The sequence below is a fragment of the Homo sapiens genome, chromosome 15 (genome assembly GCF_000001405.40).
Source record: "Homo sapiens chromosome 15, GRCh38.p14 Primary Assembly".
Lineage (NCBI taxonomy): Eukaryota > Metazoa > Chordata > Mammalia > Primates > Hominidae > Homo > Homo sapiens.
Window position 1 is genome coordinate 90,964,732 of NC_000015.10, and position 24,934 is coordinate 90,989,665.

The 24,934-nt window shown below is 44.6% G+C and overlaps 1 protein-coding gene and 1 long non-coding RNA gene across 34 annotated transcripts in view, besides 1 other annotated feature; one reads left to right on the forward strand and one right to left on the reverse strand.

The window, feature by feature from the left end:
* The window catches only part of PRC1 (protein regulator of cytokinesis 1), a 28,496-nt gene continuing 4,870 nt past the window's right edge, over positions 1,309-24,934 (reverse strand). Inside the window, exons 2-15 of one of the 33 annotated variants that reach the window (XM_006720759.3) lie at positions 19,962-20,094; positions 19,287-19,409; positions 17,017-17,250; positions 16,768-16,938; positions 16,153-16,302; positions 15,511-15,658; positions 14,427-14,563; positions 11,945-12,040; positions 9,854-10,000; positions 9,405-9,515; positions 5,673-5,783; positions 4,793-4,892; positions 4,348-4,389; positions 1,309-2,471 (exon numbers count right to left, since the gene is read on the reverse strand). In XM_006720759.3, the coding sequence (XP_006720822.1) occupies positions 4,370-4,389; positions 4,793-4,892; positions 5,673-5,783; positions 9,405-9,515; positions 9,854-10,000; positions 11,945-12,040; positions 14,427-14,563; positions 15,511-15,658; positions 16,153-16,302; positions 16,768-16,938; positions 17,017-17,250; positions 19,287-19,409; positions 19,962-20,094 (1,681 nt within the window). In that variant the 3' untranslated portion in view covers positions 1,309-2,471; positions 4,348-4,369. Of the gene's footprint in view, positions 2,472-4,347; positions 4,390-4,715; positions 4,893-5,672; positions 5,784-9,404; positions 9,516-9,853; positions 10,001-11,944; positions 12,041-14,426; positions 14,564-15,510; positions 15,659-16,152; positions 16,303-16,767; positions 16,939-17,016; positions 17,251-19,286; positions 19,410-19,961; positions 20,095-24,934 lie in introns of all 33 variants that reach the window. The other 32 variants (XM_011522187.3, NM_003981.4, XM_011522191.4 and 29 more) reach the window with 32 other exon arrangements.
* PRC1-AS1 (PRC1 antisense RNA 1) lies at positions 1,638-23,893 on the forward strand. The gene is made up of 4 exons (NR_051984.1): positions 1,638-1,947; positions 17,224-17,359; positions 18,961-19,047; positions 22,899-23,893. It is a non-coding gene; the product is annotated as a PRC1 antisense RNA 1 (long non-coding RNA).
* Positions 18,631-19,830: an enhancer, noted in NCBI's record as "BRD4-independent group 4 enhancer chr15:91526592-91527791 (GRCh37/hg19 assembly coordinates)". NCBI's record gives its function as "activates an origin of replication core promoter dependent on BRD2, P300/CBP, MED14 and CDK7 cofactors, and independent of BRD4, by STARR-seq in HCT116 cells {active_cell/tissue: HCT116}" and the evidence as "EXISTENCE:reporter gene assay evidence [ECO:0000049][PMID:35650434]".

Consider the following 24,934-nt stretch of genomic DNA (forward strand, 5'->3'; position numbering starts at 1 on the left):
TTTAATAGCCAAAAACTGGAGAAAAGCCAAATGTGAAAAATAAACCTAACAGGCGAATAAACTGGTATATCAACACCATGGAATACTAAGCAAAAAAAAAAAAAAAAAAAAAAAAAAAAAAAAAAAAGAATTATGGATATAAGCAACAATATGGGTAAATCTGAAAGTAGTGAAAGAACCAGACCAAAAAAATATATACTGTATGATTCTACTTACATCGAACTGTAGAAAACGCAAACTAATCTGTAGTAACAAATCGGTGGGCCAGGTACAGTGGCTCATGCCTGTAGTCCTAGCACTTTGGGAGGCCGAGGTGGGCGGATCATGAGGTCAGGAGATCGAGACCATCCTAGCTAATACAGTGAAACCCTGTCTGTCTGTACCAAAAATACAAAAATTTACCAGGCGTGATGGCACGTGCCTGCAGTCCCAGCTACGCGGGAGGCTGAGGCAGGAGAATCCCTTGAACCTGGGAGGCAGAGATTGCAGTGAGCTGAGATTGTGCCACTGCACTCCAGCCTGGCAAGAGCGAGACTCCATCTCAAAAAAAAAAAAAAAAAAAAAAAAAAAAATCAGTGGTTGCTCGGCAGGGTGAGGCTGGGAAGGAGGAGTGAGAAAGGGGTGGGAAGAACTGCTGGGGTAGAGAGACTTGGTTAACTGGACTGTGGCGATGGTTTTTCTCTTACGCTTCACATGTGTGCAGTTTATGTCCATCCTCCTTCAGTAACGCTGTTGAAGTTGGGCAGCCTCCCCATATTGAGACAAACGGCATTGAAGCCAGAAGCATCCTAGGACTCCCTTTGCTCTCTACACATCAGGGGTTAGGTTTTATATTTCTCACCAAAAAATTAGAGTAAGAGATATTCTTAATTTAGAAATGTACCAGAGAATATTTTAAAAATCACACTCGGCCGGGTGCTGTGGCTCATGCCTGTCATCCCAGCACTTTGGGAGGCAGGCAGATCATCTGAGGTCAGGAGTTCAAGACCAGCCTGGCCAACATGGTGAAAGCCTGTCTCTACTAAAAATACAAAAATTAGCCAGGTGTGATGGTGCGTGCCTGTAATCCCAGCAAATCGGGAGGCTGAGGCAGGAGAATCGCTTGAACCTGGGAGGTGGAAGTTGCACTGAACCAAGATAGTGCCACTGTACTCCAGCCTGGGCGACAGAGTGAGACTCAAAAAAAAAAATCACACTCCTGACTAAAAATTTCCAGGAGGTCCTTTTAGTTTTTTGTGTTTGTTTTTCACACACAGACCAACCAACTAAAAAGTGACTGGGGAAAAAAAGGAAACACCACACTATATCTTTTTGAAATGTAAGTATACAGATTTTAATTTATTTTTAAGAATAATTGTATATTTTAAAAACAGGACACGTACTGTATGAGTAAACAGCGTGGCTAACACCAAGTCCACACTGGTAAGCTTTTGAGAACCATTTACACTATGTTGACAGTAGTACTGCTGCAGGCAGACAGCGGAAGAATAAATAATAGTGCTTCAAGAAGAGTAGTGATTGAGAGGATAGGTAAAGAGGGCGCCTCATCGTGGAAGCTAGAGCAGGAACACCTCCCCAGTAGTGACATGTGCAAAGTTCCAGATCTCCACGACAAAGACAGCTCAACCCATTGGAACAAACAGACTCCCAATGTGGCTGGCAACTGCGGGGGTAGAAGAACTCAGGCAAAGTAGGCACAGGAATGGGGGAGATGAGAGCCAAGGGACAAACGCCGAGAAAGCGTTCCGACAAGCATGTGTGTTCATACATGCATACCCCCAACAAAGGGCAATGCACTGTGTAACAGAACTGAACACAATTTAACAAAGCTGCTCCCAGCCTTCCTGTCACCTCTTTGGCAGTAGGGCAGGCCATCTCAACTTCGGACACACAAAGACATTCTCTTCAGGAGGAAGGCTGTCCTGTGTGGTGGGGACAAGGCTTCAGGTAAGAGCAAAGCTATGATAGCTACAGCATTAATTGAACATGCCTAAACAAAAAAGATGTTAATTACTAGTTACAGGTATACATGCCAAAATTACCCCCAGGGATGGGCATAGTCAATCATTTTCCTACAGTGGTGAAATAAAACAAGCTTTGATCATGCTTCAGCAAGTAGAATTATGTGGTAGAGAAGTCAGGCCCCATATGCTAAAATTTGCACTTCTTGCCATAAACTTTTCATGTATATAAGTCAAAACCAAGTCTCCTAGGACCACTAAACCTATGATGGGCTTTCAACTGTAACACTCATTCACATCTTTAAGTTAGGCCCATGGTCATGGAACCTGGCCAAGGTTTCAAGCACGCCTAAGCTGAAGAAAAACTAAAGTCACCCCCATATAATTAGGTCCAGTCTAGGCACAGGAAGCCACAGCTGGTTGACTGATCAGGGCTTCTCAGGACTGGATGTTGGTTGAATTGAGGATTCCAGAAGTAGCATCAGATTTGGAAGCCTTTGAAAGTTCTCGCTGTTGAAAAATAAATAACATCAGTGGCCATACTGCCTCTCTTACACATGGCCCACCCTTCTAAGTTTGGTTAAGTGTCAGCAAAAGGTCCCTTGAAGGTAGTTTCTCTGAGATCCCTAGCCTGCAATAGGCTGCGTTAGGAGTAAAAGGTGAGGAACTCTGAGCACCATTCTATTAGTCACAGACAGAGTGCATGTGCACGCATGCCCGTGACCCCTTTTTCCTCAGCCAGTCCATTCTGTTACACCTCACAGAAGAGAAATCCTTCATACAGTCATGCACTGCATAATGATGTTTCAGTTAACGACAGGCCACATACACTATGGTGGTCCCATAAGATTATACCATATTTTTACTGTACCTTTTCTATGTTTAGATACACAAATACTTACCATTGCGTTACAATTGCCTACAGTATCCCAGGAATAGCCTGAATCAAAAAAACCCACAATTGCCTACAGTATTCTTTCTGTAACATGCTGCCCAGGTTTGTAGCCTAGGAGGAAAACGCCATACCATATAGTTTAGGTGTGTAGGCTGTTCTGTCTAGGACTGTTAAGTACACTCTGATATGTGCACAATGAAATTGCCCCACATTCTCAGAACATATCCCTGTCATTAAGCGAGGCATGACTCTACTTCACAGAGCTACTTTAGAGTTGTCAAGGTAAGTAGGCAACAAGCTTTGGTCTCTTGAGCCCTTTATAAAACAATGGGCCAGAACATATATCTACCAATCCCTGGGGCTGAGGCCTTGTAACCTGCTGGTGATTTGATCTCATGCTGGAGCACATGGTAGAGCAGCAAAAGATAAAGCATGAATGGCTATTGAGAAAGACAGATATTAGCAGAGGTTAGTTTACCGGCTTTGGTGCTGCCTGGTGGAGTCTATCAGCCATAGCAACCCAAACCAGACGAACCTACCTAGGACTAGCCACACAGATAGGCAGGTACATTTAAGCCTCAGATAAAATGGGCCTTGGTTGAACAAGCGAAAAAGAGAAAGCTGGACCTCTGTCCAGCAATCAGCCAGAGTGACACACACCCACTTTTAAAGGTAGAAGCACCACCAGCCACGTAATTTGAAAAACATGCTGGAGTAGGAAGCCAGTTTCAGTGATCAAAACTAGCTGCAGCCTTGGCCAACTGTTCCATTCTCTATCCCTGCAGCAATTAAGAGGGGAGGCAGGCTAGGGGTTTAACTCAATATCCCCTCAAGGGTGAGGAACATCCTCTCCTCTTGCTAGTAAAATATTGAGAGAAGAAATCACAGATTAAGTAAAAGGCAGTGTAGTTAGGTGTTAGCAAATATAGAGTAGGATACTAGGAAGTGAAGAGCATTCTGGAAAAACTTGCTTCCAGTGCTTCATCTATGCTTCAGTAGCTCAATGTATGGAAAGAGGCAAAGGTGAGGAAATCAGCATTAGCTAGCTGAGAATAGAGCTGGCGGTTAAGCCCTGAGGGGTTAGGAAGGCATATACTCCAGGAAATAATCAGCACACAGGCCAAGAGCCTCATTGTAGGCAGCACACAGCTGGGGCTCCCTTCCCCATGTGATTGGGGGCCTCTATTCTTTCCAGCTATTGCAGGCCTTTGATGTCACAATTGGGGAGGGTCAAGGTTTTCTGTTAAACGTGATTTAAAACTGTGCCTGACTTTAGGGGCTGAGAATCCAATTCAAGTCTGAACAAATTTTATTAATTAATCTGTTGTGAATGTAAATCAGATGTGTTTTTTTGAGTCCATGATAGGAATTCCTGCTTCCTTTGTAACACTGCTGAGATTATTAGTTAGTGTAGCCCTGTGCCCAGATGAATGAAGCCAGCAGATGACAGATCAGTTTGGAAAAGGGACATGCAGGGATTGCCATACAGACCTGAAGCCCAACAGTGGAACTGTCAGAGAGGGACGGATCCTTCTAAGAACAAAGAATTAAGACAATTACCAAGAACTCCACCAAGAGAGCACCAGGACAGTGATAGAGGGGTTGCCTCCTGCAGCCAGGGAATGGTATGTATTAAGCAGAAGGATCCAGGTTAAATGTCTAGTTGCTGCTGCCAACTTCCTTCCTACACAACCCCCCCTTAAATCACACCCACCCTGCCATGGTCAAAGCAGGAAAGGGATTCTCAGCCTCCAAGGTAGCTGCCCTAGCTAATAGCCTGGGTGCCCCTGGGAAGATACCCACTCTGCCCCAACTGTGTGCTCCCCAGAGACTGGTAGATATTAGAAAAGGTGAATTACCGCAAACTCAGAATAGGTGCTGGCAACAGAATTAATGCTGAAGTTGCGCTGGAGGGGGGCCGAGCCAGGGTACCCACCACTCAGGATGCTGCCGTTGAGCTCCAGGTTCTCCTTGTTGGCTCCATGCCTGCCAGTACGGGGTGTTTTCTTCCCTGAACAGGTGGAAGCAGCGACTGGCTGCAGAGAAAGGAAAGAGATCCATGTATCATCCTTCTAATGAACGTGCACACGCACACACAATACCTGCACTGGTCAAAGGCTGAGACTATCTTTATATTCATGTCTATAATCCTATACTTTTTAGTTAAAAAAAAAACATATATATATATATATATATATATATATATATATATATGGGGCTGGGTGTGGCTCATGCCTATAATCCCAACACTTTGGGAGGCCAAGGCAGGAGGATTGCTTGAGGCGACATGTTCGAGACCAGCCTGGGCAACATAGCAAAACACTGTCTCTAGAAAAAAATTTTTTTTAAATATGAATTCTTGATTTACAGAACACCTATCTTGAGCATAGTCTAATAAAATATTTGAAAGACTGAATGTGTTTTGCCACATACTTTCCACATCTCTACTGAGTACCTGGCATGTCTAGTGATCTGGTTTCACTGGGCTAGAACCCACATGTAGGGGACCTATCTCCATACCAGCTGAGGACTGGGCTTGGAATTGAGTCTACAGCGACCCTGCCTGATCTTCAGTTTCCCAGACACATCCCAGTGCTTCCCATGGTACCAGTGGGGCTCAGAGTGACTGTTCTCTTTTTTTGCACGTTAGTTTTGGACCATTATTTAATGGTGAGCTAGCTTATATCTGTCAACTCTCAGCATCTCAATAAGAACCAAATCCAGGGATCTTAGAATCTAGAACAAGTAGGTGGGGCCTCTGGGTGAACAGGCTAGGGACGCATGTGAGGATGTGCTTAGACACAGGGCATACTAACCTTGCTGCCAGAAGGAGGAAGTCGAGACACGGGGGAGTGGTAGACTGTCCCTCCAAAGATAGGCCGAATGCTACTATTGGCCGTAGCATTGGACATGGTGGTAGTGTTCAGCTAGGGAGAAGAGCACGTGGGTAACTGATGTGCAGTAACATCCTCAGCATTTCTAGCAACCTGTCTACCCTACAGAGAAATGACTATGGGAGGAGGCAGTCTAGGGAAGACGGGTTTACATGGTGAAGGGCCTGCTGTGTCTAATACTGCATAGATTTGAAGTAACTTGTGAAAAATTTTCAAAGCCTATTGCTATCCAGCAAATGGAAGTGTACAATGGTACAACCACTGTGGCACAAGACATCTAGCATATGACCCAGCCATTCCACTCTTAGATGTTTCTACCCAAACGAAATGAAAGCATAGATCCATACAAAGACTTAGACGTAAATGTTCACAACAGCTCCCTGCAGCAGCCAAAAGCTGGCAACAGCCAAATACCCATCAGCAGGTAAGTGGACAAGCAAACTGTGGTAAATTCATACAGTGGAATGAATATTGATCTACAATAAAAAGGAGTGACCTTTTGATACATACAGCAACAGAGATGAATCTACACTAAATGAAAGAAGCCAGACAAAAAAGAATATGTACTGCGGGATTCTATGTAAAATGTTTCAAAATGAAAACTAATCTATAGTTAGTTAAAGACTAAATCCCTACTCGCCACAGCTAGAGGCTGGGGGCAAACTAGGAGCCAGGGAAGGAGGGAGGTAATACAAAGAGGCACTAGGAAACTTTGGGGACCATGAAATGTTCATTATCTAAATTATGGTGACAGTTTCATTGTATAAACCTACATATGTCAAAACTTATTATATGCTAATGATAAGAGCTGTAAATGTTTTTGAGATGGGGTCTCACTCTGTCACCCAGGCTGGAGTACAGTGGTACAATCTTGGTTCACTGCAGCCTCGACCTCCTGGGCTCAAGCAATCCTCCCACCCCAGCCTCCTGAGTAGCTGGGACCACAGGCGTGTGCCACCACAACCAGCTAATTTTTGTATTTGTAGTAGAGATGGGGCTTCAACATGTTTCCTAGTCTCCCAACTCCTGAGTTCAAGCAATCCCCCTACCTTGGCTTCCCGAAGTAGTGGGATTACAGGCTTGAGCCACTGTACCCAGCCAACACTTTTTTTTTTTTTTTTTAATTAAAAAAATTCTAGGGGGCCGGGCACGGTGGCTCATCTGAGGTCGGGAGTATGAGACCAGCCTGACCAACATGGAGAAACCCCGTCTCTACTAAAAATACAAAATTAGGTGTGGTAGCACATGCCTGTAATCCCAGCTACTCGGGAGGTGGAGGTTCACGCCTGTAATCCCAGCACTTTGGGAGGCTGGGGCGGGCAGATCTTCTGAGGTCAAGAGATTGAGACCATCCTGGCCAACAAAGTGAAACCCCATCTCTACTAAAAATACAAAAATTAGGTGGGCATAGTGGCGCGGGCCTGTAGTCCCAGCTACTCAGGAGGCTGAGGCACGAGAATCACTTGAACCCAGGAGGTGTAGGTTGCAGTGAGCTGAGATTGCGCCACTGCACTCCAGCCTGGGCAACAGAGCGAGACTCCGTCTCAAAAAAACAAAACCAAAAAAAACACATTTTAGGCCAGGCACAGTGGCTCATGCCTGTAATCCCAGCACTTTGGGAGGCTGAGGCAGGAGGATCACTTGAGCTCAGGAGTTTGAGACCAGCCTGGACAACTTAGTGAGACCTCATCTCTACTGAAACTCAAAAAAAAAAAAAAAAAAACACCACCAACAAAAAAAAAAACCCCAAAATTAGCCGGGTATGGTGGCATGTGCCCGTAAGTCTCAGCTACATGGGAGGCTGAGGTTAGAGAATCACTTGAGCCCAGGAGGCTGAGCTGCAGTGAGCCATGATGGCGCCACTGCACTCCGGTGTGGGTGATAGAGCAAGACACTGTCTAAAAATAATAAATTTAATGTTATAAAATAGCAGTAGAGAGAAGAAATAATACTCTTTTATTTATCAAAAAGAAAAAAGTAGGCCAGGCACAGTGGCTCACGCCTGTAATCCCAGCACTTTGGAAGTCAAGGTGGGTGGATCACCTGAGGTCAGGAATTCAAGACCCTAGCCAACATGGAGAAACCCTGTCTCTACTAAAAATACAATATTAGCCGGGTGTGGTGGCACATGCCTGTAATCCCAGCTACTTGGGAGGCTGAGGCAGGAGAATTGCTTGAAACCAGGAGGCAGAGGCTGTAGTGAGCTGAGATCACCCATTGCACTCCAGCCTAGGCAACAAGAGCGAAACTCCATCTCAAAAAAAAAAAAAGTCCTCTCTGACTGTGCTGTAGAGATGAAGAATTATTACATCTTCCATTTAGTAAGCGTGAACGTTGTTTTTCACATGGTACCACAAGGCCATCTCTTGGTCTTACAGGGAAAATGGCATTACAGGTTTTCAGGAAAACTGCTGAAGCTTTCTTTTCATCGTTACCAGAATGTTGGCAATCATTCCCCCACCGCACCCCGAATTTAATGCAAGGACGCAACAAGCACAGACACCAAAGCTGGCCACTCCGTGACTGTCACTATAGGCCGCTACTCAGCCTTCCATCCACTCAAGTGGACTCGACATGCAGGGACAGAAAAACCCTTTCCCATCTCTGCAGGACAGAGGGCAAGAGGTAGGGAAAAGAAAGATCAGAGTGTTACTGTGTCTATGTAGAAAAGGAAGACATAAACTCCATTTTGATCTGTACTAAGAAAAATTGTTTTGCCTTGAGATGCTGTTAATCTGCAACTTTAGCCCCAACCCTGTGCTCACAGAAACATGTGCTGTATGGAATCAAGGTTCAAGGGATCTAGGGCTGTGCAGCATGTGCCTTGTTAACAATATGTTTACAGGCAGTATGCTCGGTAAAAGTCATCTGCATTCTCCATTCTCGATTAACCAGGGGCACGATGCACTGCGGAAAGCCGCAGGGACCTCTGCCCAAGAAAGCCTGGGTATTGTCCAGGTATTTCCCCGCACTGAGACAGCCTGAGATATGGCCTCGTGGGAAGGGAAAGACCTGACCATCCCCCAGCCCGACACCCGTCGTCTGTGCTCAGGAGGATTCGTAAAAGAGGAAGGCCTCCGTCTCCTGCATGCCCCTGGGAACGGAATATCTCGGTGTAAAACCCGATCGTACGTACCTATGTTCGTTCTATTCTTAGATAGGAGAAAACTGCCCTGTGGCTGGAGGCGAGATACGCTGGCGGCAATGCTGCTCTGTTACTCTTTACTACACTGAGATGTTTGGGTGGGGAGAAGCATAAATCTGGCCTACGTGCACATCTAGGCACAGTACCTTCCCTTGAACTTATTTGTGACACAGATTCCTTTGCTCACGTTTTCCTGCTGACCTTCTCCCCACTATCACCCTGTCCTCCTGCCGCATTCCCCTTGCCAAGATAGTGAAAATAGTAATCAATAAATACTGAGGGAACTCAAGAGACCGGTGCTGGTGCAGGTCCTCTGTATGCTGAGTGCTGGTCCCCTGGGCCCACTGTTCTTTCTCTATACTTTGTGTCTTATTTCTTTTCTCTGTCTCTTGTCCCACCTGATGAGAAATACCCACAGGTGTGGAGGGGCTGGCCCCCTTCAAAGAGGTGGCTGGGACTACCCTCACCCACTCCCTTGAAATCAGTGTTTCCCTAAGCCTTGTGTTTACCTTACGTGCTTTGCCCGGTGTATTGGGAGCCAGTCCTCGCCGCTTGCTAGGTGTTCGAGGAGCGCTGCCATACAGCATCTCTGTCTCTGTCTGTTTTTTGTTCTTCAGTTGCTGTGTGAAAGTCAGAAGCAACAGTGATAAATCTCAGGAAGAGAGCGGGTCTGGGATGGCAACAGCAGCAGGGCCGGGAATCTAGGCCCGTGTCTCTACAGCCAGAGCTAAAGAGCTGCCGCGGGCTCCCCGTTCCACAAGCCCCGGTCCCCGGCTCCCCGTTCCACAAGCCCCGGTCCCCGGCTCCCCGTTCCACAAGCCCCGGTCCCCGGCTTCCCGTTCCACAAGCCCCGGTCCCCGGCTCCCTGTTCCACAAACCCTGGTCCCCGGCAGAGACTATGGGCTGCTCAGATTACTTTCTTCGTCTTTTCCCAATTTGCGTTCACGTTCACACTTACTCTTTCCTGCTTGGCTCTCTCTTTCTCCAATCGATGCATCTCCCATTGTTCTGCCACATACTCCATGAATTTCTGCCCATTCACCATAAATGCCTTTGAATGTTCCTGTTCCCACAATTCAATTCGTGCCTTCAACTCTTCTTCCAGCTGAGACCAGAAACAAGGACATGTTAATTACTTCAACTCTTTAGTGCAAAGCCCAAATGAAATGATTTCCCTAGAGAGTGACTCCTCCTCCCCAGAGCATCATTAGCCTCATTTCAGGTAGCTGGGCCCACATGGGTACAGGTCAGAGTGACCAGAAATCAAAGCCCGGAGACATTTCATTCACACAACACACAAGAGTGGAAAATGGCAAGAACCCAAAGTTTGACCACTAAGGTTTTGGTGCCTGAAGTTGGAGGCAGCACAGGGAAGATCAGCAATATGAAATAGGCGGTGAACATTAGGAGCAGGACTCTGAAATCAGACTTAATGGGGTTCAATCTGGAATCACCCTCTTTACTGGCTGTGAAGCAGTGAGCAAATTTACATTTTTTTTGAGACAGTCTCACTCTGTCGCCCAGGCTAGAGTGCAGTGGCACGATCTCAGCTCACTGCAACCTCCACCTCCCGGGTTCAAGCGATTCTTGTGCCTCAGCCTCCCGAGTAGCTGGGATTACAGGCATACGCCACACCTGGTTAATTTTTGTATTTTTTAGTAGAGATGGGGTTTCGTCATGTTGGCCAGGCTGGTCTCGAACTGCCTCGGCCTCCCAAAGCCCTGGGATTACAGGAGTGAGACACCACGCCCGGCCAGATTTACCTAATTTCTTAGTACCTCAGTTTCCTCGTCTGTAAAAATGGAAAGAATACCGACCTCATAAGGATGTTGTAAGGATTAGACGAATCACTAAATGAGAGCGTTTTGAAATGATATCCCTGACTTAACTCAAAAAATGGTATTATTATTATCAAAGTGGAAAATGGTAATGGAGCCCACAGGACTCTCTCTCAAAAGCTTTCCTCATGTAACTGACTGAATTGTGTTTCCCCCAAATTCAAATGTTGAAGCCTTAACCCCCAGTACCTCAGAATGTGACTGTATTTGGAGACAGCGTCTTTAAAAAGAGAATTAAGGCCAGGTATGGTGGCTCATTCCTGTAACCCTAGCATTCCTGAGACCGAGATGGGAGGAATGCTTGAGGCCAGGAGTCCAAGACCAGCCTGGTCAACACAGCGAGACCCCATCTCTTGCGGGGGGAAAAAAGAAAGAATTAAGTTAAAATGAGGTCATTAGGTGGGCCCTAATCTCATACGACTGGGAGTGTTTAGGCCACACATATTGTGGGAAAACCATGTGAACACACGGAGAAGACGACAACCATTTACAAAGCCAAGGAGAAAGGCCTCAGAAGAAACCAACTCTGCCAACGACATGTTGATCTCAGATTTACAGCTTCTAGAGTTGTGAGAAAATAAGTTGCTGTTGTCGAAACTGCCCAGTCCGTAGTGTTTTGTTTTTTTGTTTGTTTTTCTCTCTGAGATGGAGTCTCACTCTGTTGCCCAGGCTGGAGTGCAGTGGCGCGGTCTTGGCTCACTGCAACCTCTGCCTCCTGGGTTCAAGTGATTCTCCTGCCTCAGCCTCCTGAGTAGCTGGGATTACAGGTGCCCGCCACCATGCCTGGCTAATTTTTGTATTTTTAGTAGAGACCAGGCTGGTCTTGAACTCCTGACCTCATGATCAAGACCAGGCTGGTCTTGAACTCCTGACCTCATGATCAAGACCAGGCTGGTCTTGAACTCCTGACCTCATGATCAAGACCAGGCTGGTCTTGAACTCCTGACCTCGCGATATGCCTGCCTAGGCCTCCCAAAGTGCTGGGATTACAGGCGTGAGCCACTACACCTGGCCTGTAGTGCTTTATTATGGCAGTCCTAGCAAACGAATACACCTTGATATGGAGTTGCTTATACTAAATATATAACTTATTATCTCTGCCTAAGCTTTGAAGAAAATAGTTTTGGGGCTAAACAATAGAAAGAAAAAGACATACAAATAGTGAGGTATCTTTGTAACCAAGCATCAAAAACCCTTAGCAACATTATTACCTTGGGCAGCATTTTCTGGAGCTTGGCTCGTTGTTTTTCTTCTTTTAGAAGATTTCCTCCTCGGTTTGTAAATCGATTTGGATCTGAAGCTTTTCTCTGTGAAAAATACATTTTTAATTAGTGGAAAACCTGGCACCATGAGACCAATAACTTCTGCTAAGATTCTTTGTTCTCGCCAGGCGTGGTGACTCACACCTGTAATCCCAGCACTTTGGGAGGCCGAGGCGAGTGGATCACCTGAGGTCGACAGTTCCAGACCAACCTGGCCAACATGGCGAAACCCCATCTCTACTAATAATAAAAAAATTAGCGAGCATGACGGTGCGCACGTGCAGTCCCAGCTACTCAGGAGGCTGAGACAGGAGAATCACTTGAACCTGGGTGGCGTGCAGTGAGCCGAGACTGCGCCACCGTGCTCCACCCCGAGCAATGAGCGAGACGCTCAAAAAAAAAAAAAAAAAAAAAGTCAATTGTTAAAGCTTCTCATTCTTTTTAACTTTTCTTTTTGTTAACTTTTCTGTTTTTTACTGTCTTCTTTCTAGTCAAGTAATGCAGTGGGAGTGGGAGAGGAACAAATCTGTAACTGGCTGTGATCACTGACTTATAAACACCACTACACTCGGACCAGCATGTGTTTTCTTTTAGAACATATAAGGTATATCAGAACAGTAATGCAAGTATATAGCTTGTAATTATAAATTAGGTGTGTATACTCAAAAATAGGGGCACACAGGCAGAAAAATTTAGAAGATATTCTAGAAAATTAAATTGTTTCCCTTCCATACTGCTTGATTGGTGACAGCCAATAGTTACTAGAGAGGATGGTAGGTAATTCATTTCTTGTTTTCTTCTTAAATATTGGCATGTCAACAAAGGTTGCTGCCTTAGCTCCTTATTTACGTTTTTTTTTTTTTTTTTTTTTTTCTGAGACAGAGTCTCGCTCTGTCGCCCAGGCTGGAGTGCAGTGGTGCGATCTTGGCTCACTGCAAGCTCTGCCTCCCGGGTTCACGCCATTCTCCTGCCTCAGCCTCCCGAGTAGCTGGGACTACAAGTGCCCGCCACCATGCCCGGCTAATTTTTTTGTATTTTTTTAGTAGAGACGGGGTTTCACTGTGTTAGCCAAGATGGTCTCGATCTCTTGACCTCCTGATCTGCCTGCCTCGGCCTTCCAAAGTGCTGGGATTACAGGCGTGAGCCACCACACACACCTGGCCTCCTTATTTATGTTTACTCTTCTTGTTGTAACCAGAAGTAAAGAATAACTGAGGACAAAGACATCTGTTCTTAAGCAGCTGTAAGATATCCCATAGTTCTCTCCACTTCTGAGTCCTAGTTTGCTGCCTGTAAACTTGAAGGAGTTGAATTCAGATTCTCTGAAGGCCCTCTGAGCTCTAACAGGGCCAGCATGAACCCGAGAACAAGGTCTCCTTCCATCTGTGCCCTACACACCTCACTTGCTTTACCACAGTCCCTGAGCTCTAAAATGCTCTGAAGGAACCCACCATGTTGCCTATCAGAAGAAAAGGAATCAATACCCATGCAATATTCTAAGTATAGCAAAAGTTGGAATGGTAGAGAATGTTAGTTGCCTGCCCCAACATCCATTCTTCTCTCCTTCCTTAGTTTAACAGAACCAGAATTTACCTGGGGCAGCAATTCACCCAGCCTCACCAGCAGGTGACAGAGCATGTGAGCCACGGTGCTGTGAAGAGAGCCGGGAAGAGCTCTTGAAGGAGTGAGGGGCAATGCCTTCTTTGTTCCTTCCTCCACCACACTGTATGACATGTGCCATCAGGCCAGGCGTGGTGGCTCACGCCTGTGATCCCAGCACTGTGGGAGGCCGAGGTGGGCAGATCAGCTGAAGTCAGGAGTTTGAGACCAGCCTGGCCAACATGGTGAAACCCCATCTCTACTAAAAATACAAAAAATTAGCCGGGTGTGGTGGTGCATGCCTGTAATCCCAGCTACTTGGGAGGCTGAGGTAGGAGAATCACTTCAACCTGTGAGGTGGAGGTTGTGGTGAGCCAAGATCGCACCATTGCACTCCAGCCTGGGCAACAAGAGCGAAACTCCACCTCAAAAAAAAAAAAAAAAAAAAAAAAAGTGCCATCAGGGTGGGAGCTCTAGCAGCCATCCTGGCCCTGAAGATGAGGTCCACCCTTAGTGGTGGGGGAGCGCCCTGAGCCGGAGAAGCCTGGGGTCCTGCTCACTGTGCAGATCTGCCATGCCTGCCCCACACTGCCCACCTCTGAACCTCATTCATGCAAGAAATGCCTACCTTATTTAAGCCATTAATTTTGGGCTTTTCTCTTAAAAGACCCTGTAGATAAGCTTATCAAACAGAGGCGGTCAGCAGAAATTCAGAGAGACTTAATGATAAAGATGGGGTATCAAAAGCCTGGCAAAGAACAAAGCTAACTGGATTGATTCCGTACATGGCATGCTTTCTTAACAGTTAAAAACACAAAAACTAGGACAATACCTCAAACTCTAAGAAAAGCCTCCAGGTTTCTTCCCACTTCTGGACACCTTCAAAGAGTTCCTTGTGAACTTCATAGTAGTTTTTTAACCGCACAATCTCAGCATCGTGGAGCTGGAGCAGACTTTCTGTGTAGTCCTCTGCAAAATATAGGCCCAGTAGTTTAAAACAATTCCTCTAGTATTTAGTATCCAATTTTACGAATCCCCGATTCCCTAAAATGGAAATAGATTCTTTCCTTATAGTAAACTGATACAGGAAGAGGCGTGTGTGTGTGTGTAATAGATATATAGTGGTTAATAAAAACCAGCTTTGTCACAATCAGCCTGGGGGAGTAGGGCCTAAGAGACTAGGATAGAGACTAAAATAATGTTGTCAAAAATCTGCATCATCTCTTGCCTTGTCTTCGGTTTCTTTCATATTCTGCTTTTCTGTCTTGCCCAGCCAGTAGAGGGGTGGATCACAGAAAATGTGCAAAAACATCTGTTGAATTTAGTTGGGGTAGCTCCATCTTTATATTCAGTGCAGTTCAGACTAGCATTCAACTGGACTCCAGGAGTCAAGCTCCTTTTGGCTCAAACGTAGGCTCTGGCATTTACCATTATATGTCTCTGGGTTAAATGACTCAGCATTTATGTGCTTTAGTATCCTCACCTCTTGACATGAGGATGTGAAATAATATTAAGGGTTTGACACTGCACCTGGCAAAAAGTAAGCACCTGATAAAAACTTAAGCTTCACAGCTAGAGGCTACAGTGACATATTGCTTCAGAAAGCAAGAGACCAATATTTCCCAATAAAATTTGCAAATGCTTTTTCATACAGGAATGGCAATTATGCTAAATGTCTTGAAAAGGTGGCTTTATCTGTTCAGAAAAGGATATACTTCCTGTTGAATGTCTGGATGTCTTAAAAACTAGTGAGCAGGCCACATGAAGACCCCACTTTTGGCTGGGTGTGGTGGCCCAACACTTTGGGAGGCCAAGTTGGGAGGATTGTTTGAGCCTAGGAACTTGAGACTAGGCTGGGCAACAGAGTAAGACCTGTCTCCAAACAAACAAACCAAAGACCTCACTCTTGTACTAACCAGCACAGAAAGGGGCAAAAGCTTGTCTCTGCTCCTGGCTATAAAAGCACTGGTCCCAGTACTGAACCAGCTCCACTCGAATTGCCTCAATCACTTTCTTCATGTTTTGCATTTTCAGTTCTTCCAACCGATCCACTTCTAATTGCAGCTGAAAGAAAGAAACTTGTTAAGGGTGGCTGCCATAGTTTTATATTCACTCAGGTTTGCAAAAGATCCCCCCCTTTTAAGTAAAATTATAATGCAAAGCCACAAAGGTATTATAAATCAACACTTTTTTTTTTTTTTTTTTTTTTTTGAGACAGGGTCTCACTCTCTCGCCCAGACAGGAGTGCAGTGGCGCGATTCTGGCTCACTGCAACCCTCCACCTCCCAGGCTCAAGCGATTCTCCTGTCTCAGCCTCCCAAGTAGCTGGGATTACAGGCGCACGCCACTACCACCTGGCTAGTATATACAGGGTTTCGCCATGTTGTCCAGGCTGGTCTCGAACTCCTGACCTCAAATGATTCACCTGCCTCGGCCTCCCAAAGTGCTGGGATTAGAGGCATGAACCACTGAGCCTGGCCAAATCAACAACAGTCTTTATGACTAACACAGAAGTGCTAAGAGAAGACTGCTGACCCAGTACCCACTGGGTTTCTTACCGCTTTCCGGACCTTGGCCTTTGACCCAGACATAATGGTGGCCACAGCTTCTCTTTCTTCTTCAGGTATTTGCAACCTGTCCCAGAGCTCTCGGATTTGAGTACGCAGCCCCTCACACACTGCTTCATTTTGTGATTTCTGCATTTCCAGCTACAGCATAGAAAGCCAGTGTCACTCACGGCAAAGCAGCAGCACAGAGGCTAGCCCTCTAGCCTCCCGCAAAGAAATGTCTGGAGTAGAGGAGGAGGCACTTTCATGAGAGTTCAAAGTAGCATGTTTTCATGCCTCCTAAACACGAGCTGTAAGGCTGTCGGGATCTCAGACCCCAAGAATTAGCATTCAAATTTAGAACTGAAAAAAATTTTAATTAAACACTAGTCTAATTCAAATGACTAATATTATTTCATCTATAATTTCATTTTCTTGGAGCCATATAAAGGTTTTTTAACTGTTAAACAAAAATCAAGGTTGTATATCATATATTACTATCCTTAGCTTCCCTCATTCTCTTACCTTACATTGTCTCCTTATTTAAGACTGAAGAAACAGCTGTCAGTTTTGTTCAAACTGCTATATACTACGGAGATCCTAGGGCATAATTTGAGAAGACAGTACCTGCCGTAGCAACTTTTGTAGTGTTGCAATATTCTCCAAAGACAAACAAAAGGCATCTTCGTCTTCACACACCACATCTCTTTCAAAGCTTGTGTCTGGGGTGTGGTCTAATGCTTCCATACACAGTATGATCTGTCTCTTTATACTGACAAACTCCTCACGCCTAGAAGCCTTTAAAACAAAGCAATTACAAGATACCTAGAGGAAAACCAAAGTGACTTTTAGGAAGAACAAATGTAGGCAGTGTACCTTTGTTTCCCTCAAAGTTGTCACATGTTGCCTGAACTGGTTCAGCTCTTCTAAGCTGGGCACTGAGGCACTGTCAATATCATAGTGGGGCATACAAAGAATTTCGCACAGTTCTTGATCTTGCTCTTGAAGTAGCTTCAGTTCCTGTTTTCTCTCCTTTTTCTGTTTTCGCATCAATTCCACTTGGGTGCGCAAATCTTTTTCTAGTTGCAAGATGGTCGTCTCTCCTTCTTCCTGAATAAGACAACGTACCACTGTTATAAGATTCCAAGTGAATTCCTTCAGAGGAAGAGAAGGACAACATAAGAAGGCGTGGATGACAGACTTTCAGTTAAACTAACAAGTAAGTCAACTCATGGTCAACAGAATATGGCACAAAGAGGGTCTCCTAAGGAAGGTCCCAGTGAGGAAAAGTGAGTAAGTACCAGGGTACTTTTCCCCCCAATTTTAAAACTTGTGGTAGAACACATATAACATAAAATTTACCATCTTAACCATTACGTGTACAGTTCATTGGTATTAAGTACAGTCATATTGTTGTGCAATCATAACCATCACCTCCAAAACTCATTTCCTCTTGCAAAAGTGAAACTTCATACTCAAACAAATAAGTCCCCATTTTTTCCCTTCTCCAAGCCTGGCAACCACCATTCTACCTTTTGTCTCTATGATTAGACTACTCCAGGCACCAGGCACTTTTATAGAATGTGTAAATTGGCAGCCAGGCACGGTGGCTCACGCCTATAATCCCAGCACTTCGGGAGGCCAAGGTGGGCAGATCACGAGGTCAGCAGTTTGAGACCAACCTGGCCAACATGGTGAAACCCCGTCTTTACTAAAAATAGAAAAATTAGCCAGGCATGGTGGCGGACACCTGTAATCCCAGCTACTCGGGAGGCTACGGCAGGAAAATCGCTTGAACCCGGGAGGCGGAGGTTGCAGTGAGCCGAGACCACACCATTGCACTCCTGCCTGGACAACACAGCGAGACTCTGTCTCTAAATAAATAAAGAAATAACAGTGTAAATTGGCTGGAAAGCTTGCTTTGGGTTAGCTATAGGGTGGCATGCCTAGCTCATATCTAAATACTCATCCTGCTAATCCTATGAACATCGTCTCACCTTAGCAACAAAAACCCATCTGGTAGTCCCTGCTCTACTCCTAACTGGTTAACAAGAAAAAAAAAAGTGGCATTTTTTTATAGGACATATACATTTTTCTTAAATGTCCTATACATTTACACAATTTCATTTAACATTGTGAACTAGGAACATCAGGTAACTTAAGGGAGATGATCGTTGTACACCTCACTTCTCGCCCAATTTCACATGGAATGTGAAAAAAGAAAGAGAAACTATGTCCAAAATCAATTATATTTATGACATTTATGTTGACTCCAGGAAGCTCCACTTCATGTTCTCTTCTGCCTGATTGCTCTTGGCTACCAAGTATGAATTATCCTTTGCCCTTTAAAGGTGATCTCCCTCCTAAGCTAACTCCAAATAGATATCCAGGCAGGTCTTCCTGTAACAGGAAGAGGGACCTGAGAACCTTATGGGTGTACTCATTGTCTTTCCAAGCTCCACATCTGTCCTAATTTTTATGATCCTGGCACTATTTTTACTGGTTCTAAGCAGAGATTTTCAGGACCCCATCTGTTATTCATTTCATCCTTGCTGTGTCCTCACTCAAGTCCCTGACTTGCAGTGGACCACAATATAGCCACTTCTCAGCTCCATACCCAGATGGATGTCATGGCATGCTCTGAAATGGACTATGCACTCCCAGTATTCCAGCTTTTGAGACATTTCTTCTGAAGAAGCCATTTTGGCTGGTTCAGTGGTATGCAGCTTCTGGGTATGATAAAACCCACAAAGGTTGGTGTTTTCATAGTATTCCTTTTAATCATTAGTTACTTTTGTTCCTGTTTTCATTTTCTTTCAGAGAAAGAACACTGCAGCACCATCTATGCCTACCTTTTTCTCAGCGTTTATAAAAAAAAATTCATATTCCCTACAAAGCAAAACTATGGTAAGCAGCAGCTTCTTTTTGATCATCTATTAGTTGCTTCACCTCTTACCAGGGCAACTCTCTACAGAGGTGAGAATTACTCTGCTGGGCCTAATTAACTACACAGCATGTTTTCCCCACTTCTTACGTCTAGCTCCATCCCTACGAGGAAGCCTTCCATCTGCAGGCCCAAGTCAACGTTGCTTTCTAAGTCTCAGGCCCCAGACAGATCACCAGAGACCCTGTGGGCTGCCACGGACCTGAAATGGCTCAACATGTAACTCGCTGCACAGAGTGTTCAGCTCTTTCTGACAGACGGATATGCTTTTGATGAGTCTTTCCTTCAGGCTTTCCTCTTCAGCAATCATCATATCCAGGAGTTCCTACAAGAGGGAAAACAGTCCATAAGTTTGGGGCAATGGAGGAAAAAAACTCCCAACACCAATACCAAACTCCTCAAATTTCTTTTTTCTTTTTCTTTTTTTCTTTGAGATGGAGTCTCGCTCTGTTGCCCAGGCTGGAGTGCAATGGCGTGCTTTCGGCTCACTGCAACCTCTACCTTCCGGGTTCAATAGATTCTCCTGTCTCAGCCTCTTGAGTAGCTGGGATTACAGGTGCTCACCACCATGCCCGGCTAATTTTTTTATTTTTAGTAGAGACGGAGGTTCACCATGTTGATCAGGCTGGTCTTGAACTCCTGACCTCAAGCAATCCATGCGCCTCGGCCTCCCAAAGTGCTGGGATTACAGGCATGAGCCACCGCACCCAGCCTCCTCAAATTTCAAGAAGGGACTTCAAAACCAAACCAAACCAAACAGGAAGAGCCTGTGCTATCCTAATGCCGATGATCACATGTCCCTTCTGTATGCTATCTCGGGTGAGACACCAACATCCTTACCCTGGTCCAATGCAGAGACCAGTACTATTCAACCCACCTTGATATGCTTCTTTACCACCTCAGTTCTTTGTAACCGCTGGTCCTCTGGAATCCCAATTAGCTCCCATATTTCCCGAAGGTGATTTAGGGCTTTCTGCAGACATACTATGGACTCCTCCGCCAGCACCTCACTGAAAACCAAAAACTAAGGCCTGTTAGTTACATCAGTCACAGCCTCTGGACTAAAAGCACTATTTTCGAGAACTAAAAAGACTAGCTTCTCAGTGGCCTCGAGAAAAAAACAAATTGAAAACAAGCATTCAGCTTAATTCACCTTTAACCACTCCCCATCCCTTTTCCTACCAAATGCCACTAGCAATACAAGATTTCATATCATATTACATCATGGAAGCTCAACCTTCTGGACTTTCAACAATGATCTACCTATGGAAGTATAATACAGAATTATAAATACTTTTACTAAAGAAAAACCGGACAAAAGATGTTGGTAAAATAAACTAACACAAGAACTTGCTGGTGAGAAACTCCTGCAAAATGTTTGGCAATTTATTACTATTTTTTTGGTGTTTTTTTTTTGTTTTTTCTTTTTTTTTGAGACAGCATCTTGCTCTGTCGCCCAGGCTGGAGTGCAGTGGTGCAATTTTGGCTCACTGCAACCTCTACCTTTTGCGTTCAAATGATTCTCCTGACTCAGCCTCCCGAGTAGGTGGGACTATAGGCAGGTGCTACCACACCCAGCTAATTTTTGTATTTTTAGTAGAGTTGGGGTTTCGCCATGTTAGCCAGGTGGGTCTTGAATTCCCGGCCTCAAGTGATCCGCCCTCCTCGGCCTCCCAAAGTGCTAGGATTACATATGTGAGCCACTGTGCCTTGCCATTTTATTTAATTAATTTATTTATTTTTATTTTCTTTTTTTTTTTTGAGACAGAGTCTCGCTCCGTTGCCCTGGCTGGAGTGCAGTGGTGAGATCTCAGCTCACTGCAACCTCCGCCTCCCAGGTTCAAGTGATTCTCCTGCTTCAGCCTCCCAAGTAGCTCAGATTACAGGTGTGTGCCACCACACCCAGCTAATTTTTGTATTTTTACAAAAACACAAAAATCCACCCACCTCGGCCTCCCAAAGTGCTGGGATTACAGGCATGAGCCACTGCGCCCGGGCCTAGTATTCTTAAATTGCAACCGGCAGCTCAAAGAATGGCTAAAGTTAAAAAGCCATTGAGATGGGGTTTCACTACGTTGGCCACGCTGGTCTCGAACTCCTGACCTCAAGTGATCCACCTGCCTCGGCCTCCCAAATTGCTGGGATTACAGGCGTGAGCTACCATGCCTGGCCTATTCTTCTTAAATTACAACTAGCAGCTCAAAGAATGGCTAAAGTTAAAAAGACAGCATTAAGTGTTGGTGAGTATATAGAAAAGTGAGAACTTTCATATGCTGCTGGCATGGTGTAAATTGGTACAACTATTTTAAAAACTGTTGGCAGTCTATCTACTAAAGCTGAACCCAGCAGTTCTACCTCTACATACATACCTAGCAGAAATGAACACATACGTTCACCAAAGACATATATGAGAATGGTTAGAGAAGCACTACTCATAATAGCAGGGAAACAGAAACAGCCTAGATGTCTATCAACAGAATGAATAGTACATTCCTACAATGCACTAATGCAGCAATGAAAATGAACAAACTGGCTGGGTGCAGTGGCTCACACCTGTAATTCCAGGACTCTGGGAGGCCGAGGGGAGCAGATCACTTGAGGTCAGGAGACCAGCCTGGCCAACATGGGGAAACCCTGTCTCTACTAAAAACACAAAAAATTAGCTGGGTGTGGTGGTGCGCCTGTAATCCCAGCTACTGGGGCGGCTGAGGCAGGAGAATCGCTTGAACCCGGGAGGCAGGGTTTGCAGTGAGCCAAGGTTGCAGTGAGCCAAGATTGTACCACTGTACTCCAGCTTGGGCGACAGAGCGAAACTGTCAAAAAAGAAAATGAACACACTACACATGATATGGATAAAGCTCAAATTATTATATTTCTATTTTATTTATTTATTTATTTTACTTTTTTGGGGTGATGAAATAGTTCTAGATCTTGATGGCGATTATACAACAGTATACAATTGAAACTACCTGTAAAGCGAGTCTGTTTTACTGTGTATGAATTATACCTCAAATCTTTTCATTTTTTTAATGAAGTAAAATAAACAACTAAAAAATAGTTGTAAGGGGAAGAGGAAGGAAAAAAAAAACACTTTAGGCTGAGCAAATGCCACTAGATATGCAAATGTGTATCACTATGTGATTCCGTTGACAGAGAGTTCAAAAACAGGCAAAACTGGCCAGGCACGGTAGTTCACGCCTGTATTCCTAGCACCTTGCAAGGCCGAGGCAGGAAAACTGTTTGAGCCCAGGAGTTTCAGATCATTCTGGGCAACATAGTGAGACTCTGCGTCTTAAAAAAAAAAAAAAAAAAAAAATTAGCCGGGCACGGTGACGTATGCCTATAGTCCCAGCTACTCAGGAGGCTGAGGTGGGAGGATTGCTTGAGCCTGAGAGGATGAGGCTGCAGTGAGCTATGATCACTGCACTCCAAAGCAACACCCTATCTCAAAAACGAAAACAAAAAAAGCAAAAACAAAACCAGGCCAAACTAATCAATGCTTTCAGAAGTCAGGATAGTAGTTCTTTTGGCTCAGGGGAGGCAGTGACTGGTAGAGGGCTTCTGGGTTGCTGCTTACACAGGTGCATCAACTGTGAACAATTCACTGAGTTTACACTTGATTTCTGTACGTTTCTGAATGTATGTTATTCTTCAATTACCAAAAGCTTATTTTAACAAAAAATTATTTATCTAAAATACAAATTTAACTGGCTTCTGTATCTTATCTTTTAAGAACAGCTTACTTTAAAAATTATCACAATTAGTCTGCTTTACAGAACATTTAAAGAATAGAAATTTTTCTCCCTTTTCTTAGGTATAACAGGACAACTAAGACTGCCCTGGCACCAGAGAAACTACAATCTAGATGTGCTCTGCTTCCAGTCGGCCGAGAAGCCTGCAGCAAATCACCTAAACACTTAAGGTCTTTGTGTGCCATCCACACCCAACTGCAACTAGAGACTTTCATTAGCCCCTTTCTGTCTCAGAGCTTTCGGTGGTTCTACAAGTCACCAGCCTGGATCTCTAACAATGTGTCTCTCCAAAGCTGTTAATACATTCACATCCAAAATATCTCCAGCCACGAAATCCTAGTTTAGAGGTTGCCCGTCCTTGTTGAAGAAACATTTCTACACAAATACCTGTTGCCTATACCAGATGGCCATACCAATACCCAAATACTGACAAACGTTTAAAAGAATTTACGGTACTCCCTTCACTTTAGAAATGTTAACAGTTCAAGTCCAACAGAACTTAAAGGAAAAAAAGAGAAATGTTAACAGTAAGTAAGGCATTTATTTAACATAATCTCAACTAAAGTCCAACTAAAGAGCTTCCCCAGGCAAACACTCCTTTTGCACTTCATTTTGAAGACAAAAGAATGCACAAGTTAAAATCCTAATATTACCATTTTATTAAAAATAACTTTTAAGATCCAATCTGTGGCCAATATTCGATCTGGATGCAAAACCCTGGCTTCCAGACAGGCCAGCCAGGGGCACTGCTCTGAAGGTCATTACTTAAGTATCCCAGTCTCCTCAGTCTGACAGACCTACCCCTGCCCAGCCAATCTCCACATAACAGCTAGTTGTTCATAATAAATCCCATCAGATCCCCGCTTAACTACTCCCCTTCAAAGGCTCCACTGCCCTCAGGAAATAGTTCAACCACCTTCTGTAGAAAGGCCTTCTAAAACCTCTCTCCGAGTCTGTCTGCTAATCTCTCCCACTTGACACTCCCCAGGTCTCTGGCCAGCTGAACTTCCCGGGCATTTCCTGAACAATGCCCCTCAATAAACCACATGCAACTCTCATTTTCTGATGCCACCGCGCTTTGTACATTCAGTTCCGTCTATATGCCACCACCTCCTCTGGAGAGCTGTGGACTTGTCACTCACCATTCCCCCCAAGCCCCCTAGTAGACCATAAACTCAAGGGCAAGGACCACCACATCTTATTCATCTTCATTTTACCACACCCTAACTCACAGTAGTTGTTCAATAGATATAAAATGAATGGCCCTGAATTCCTCCCAAAGGGTCCTATGCTCCTAACCTACCTAACCTAATAGAGGTATTATGCACTCTGGATCCTGACGAAGGTTTACAAGCAGGGCTGCCTATCTCTGTAACACATCTAGAAGGTAAAGTGATCGTTTTTCTGAGTAAAAAAATCTAGCACAATGGGCAAAGAATCTGAATAGACATTTCTCCAAAGAAGATATAAAAATGGCCAATAAGCACATGAAAAGATGCTCAATATTAGTCATTAGGGAAATGCAAATCAAAACCACTTCATAGCCAACAGGATGGTATAATAAAAAAAAATATATAGCAAAAAGTATTGGTGAGAATCTAGAGGAACTAGAACCCTCAGACACTGCTTGTGGGCATGCAAGACGGTACAGCCTCTTTGGAAAATAGTCTGGTAGTTCCTCAATTGATTTTTTGTTTTTTGAGACAGGGCCTCACTGTCACCTGGGCTGGAGTGCAGTGGTGTGATCATAGCTCAACGCAGCCTCAACGCCCTGGGCTCAAGCAATTCTCCTACCTTAGTCTCCCAAGTAGCTGGGACCATAGACGTGCCATCGTGCTTGGCTAATTTTTTTTTTTTTTTTTTTTTTTAAGGTTTGCCATGTTGCTCAGGCTGGTCTTGAACTCCTGGGCCCAAGCAATCCTCCCACCTCGGCCTCCCAAAGTGTTGGGATAACAGACATGAGCCACTGCACCCGGCCCCTCAGTTTAACAGAGTTCATACAACTCAGCAATTTTATTACTGGGTATTTGCCCAAAAGAAATGAAAACACATTTATACAAAAACTACACAACTGTTTATAGCAGCATTACTTATAATA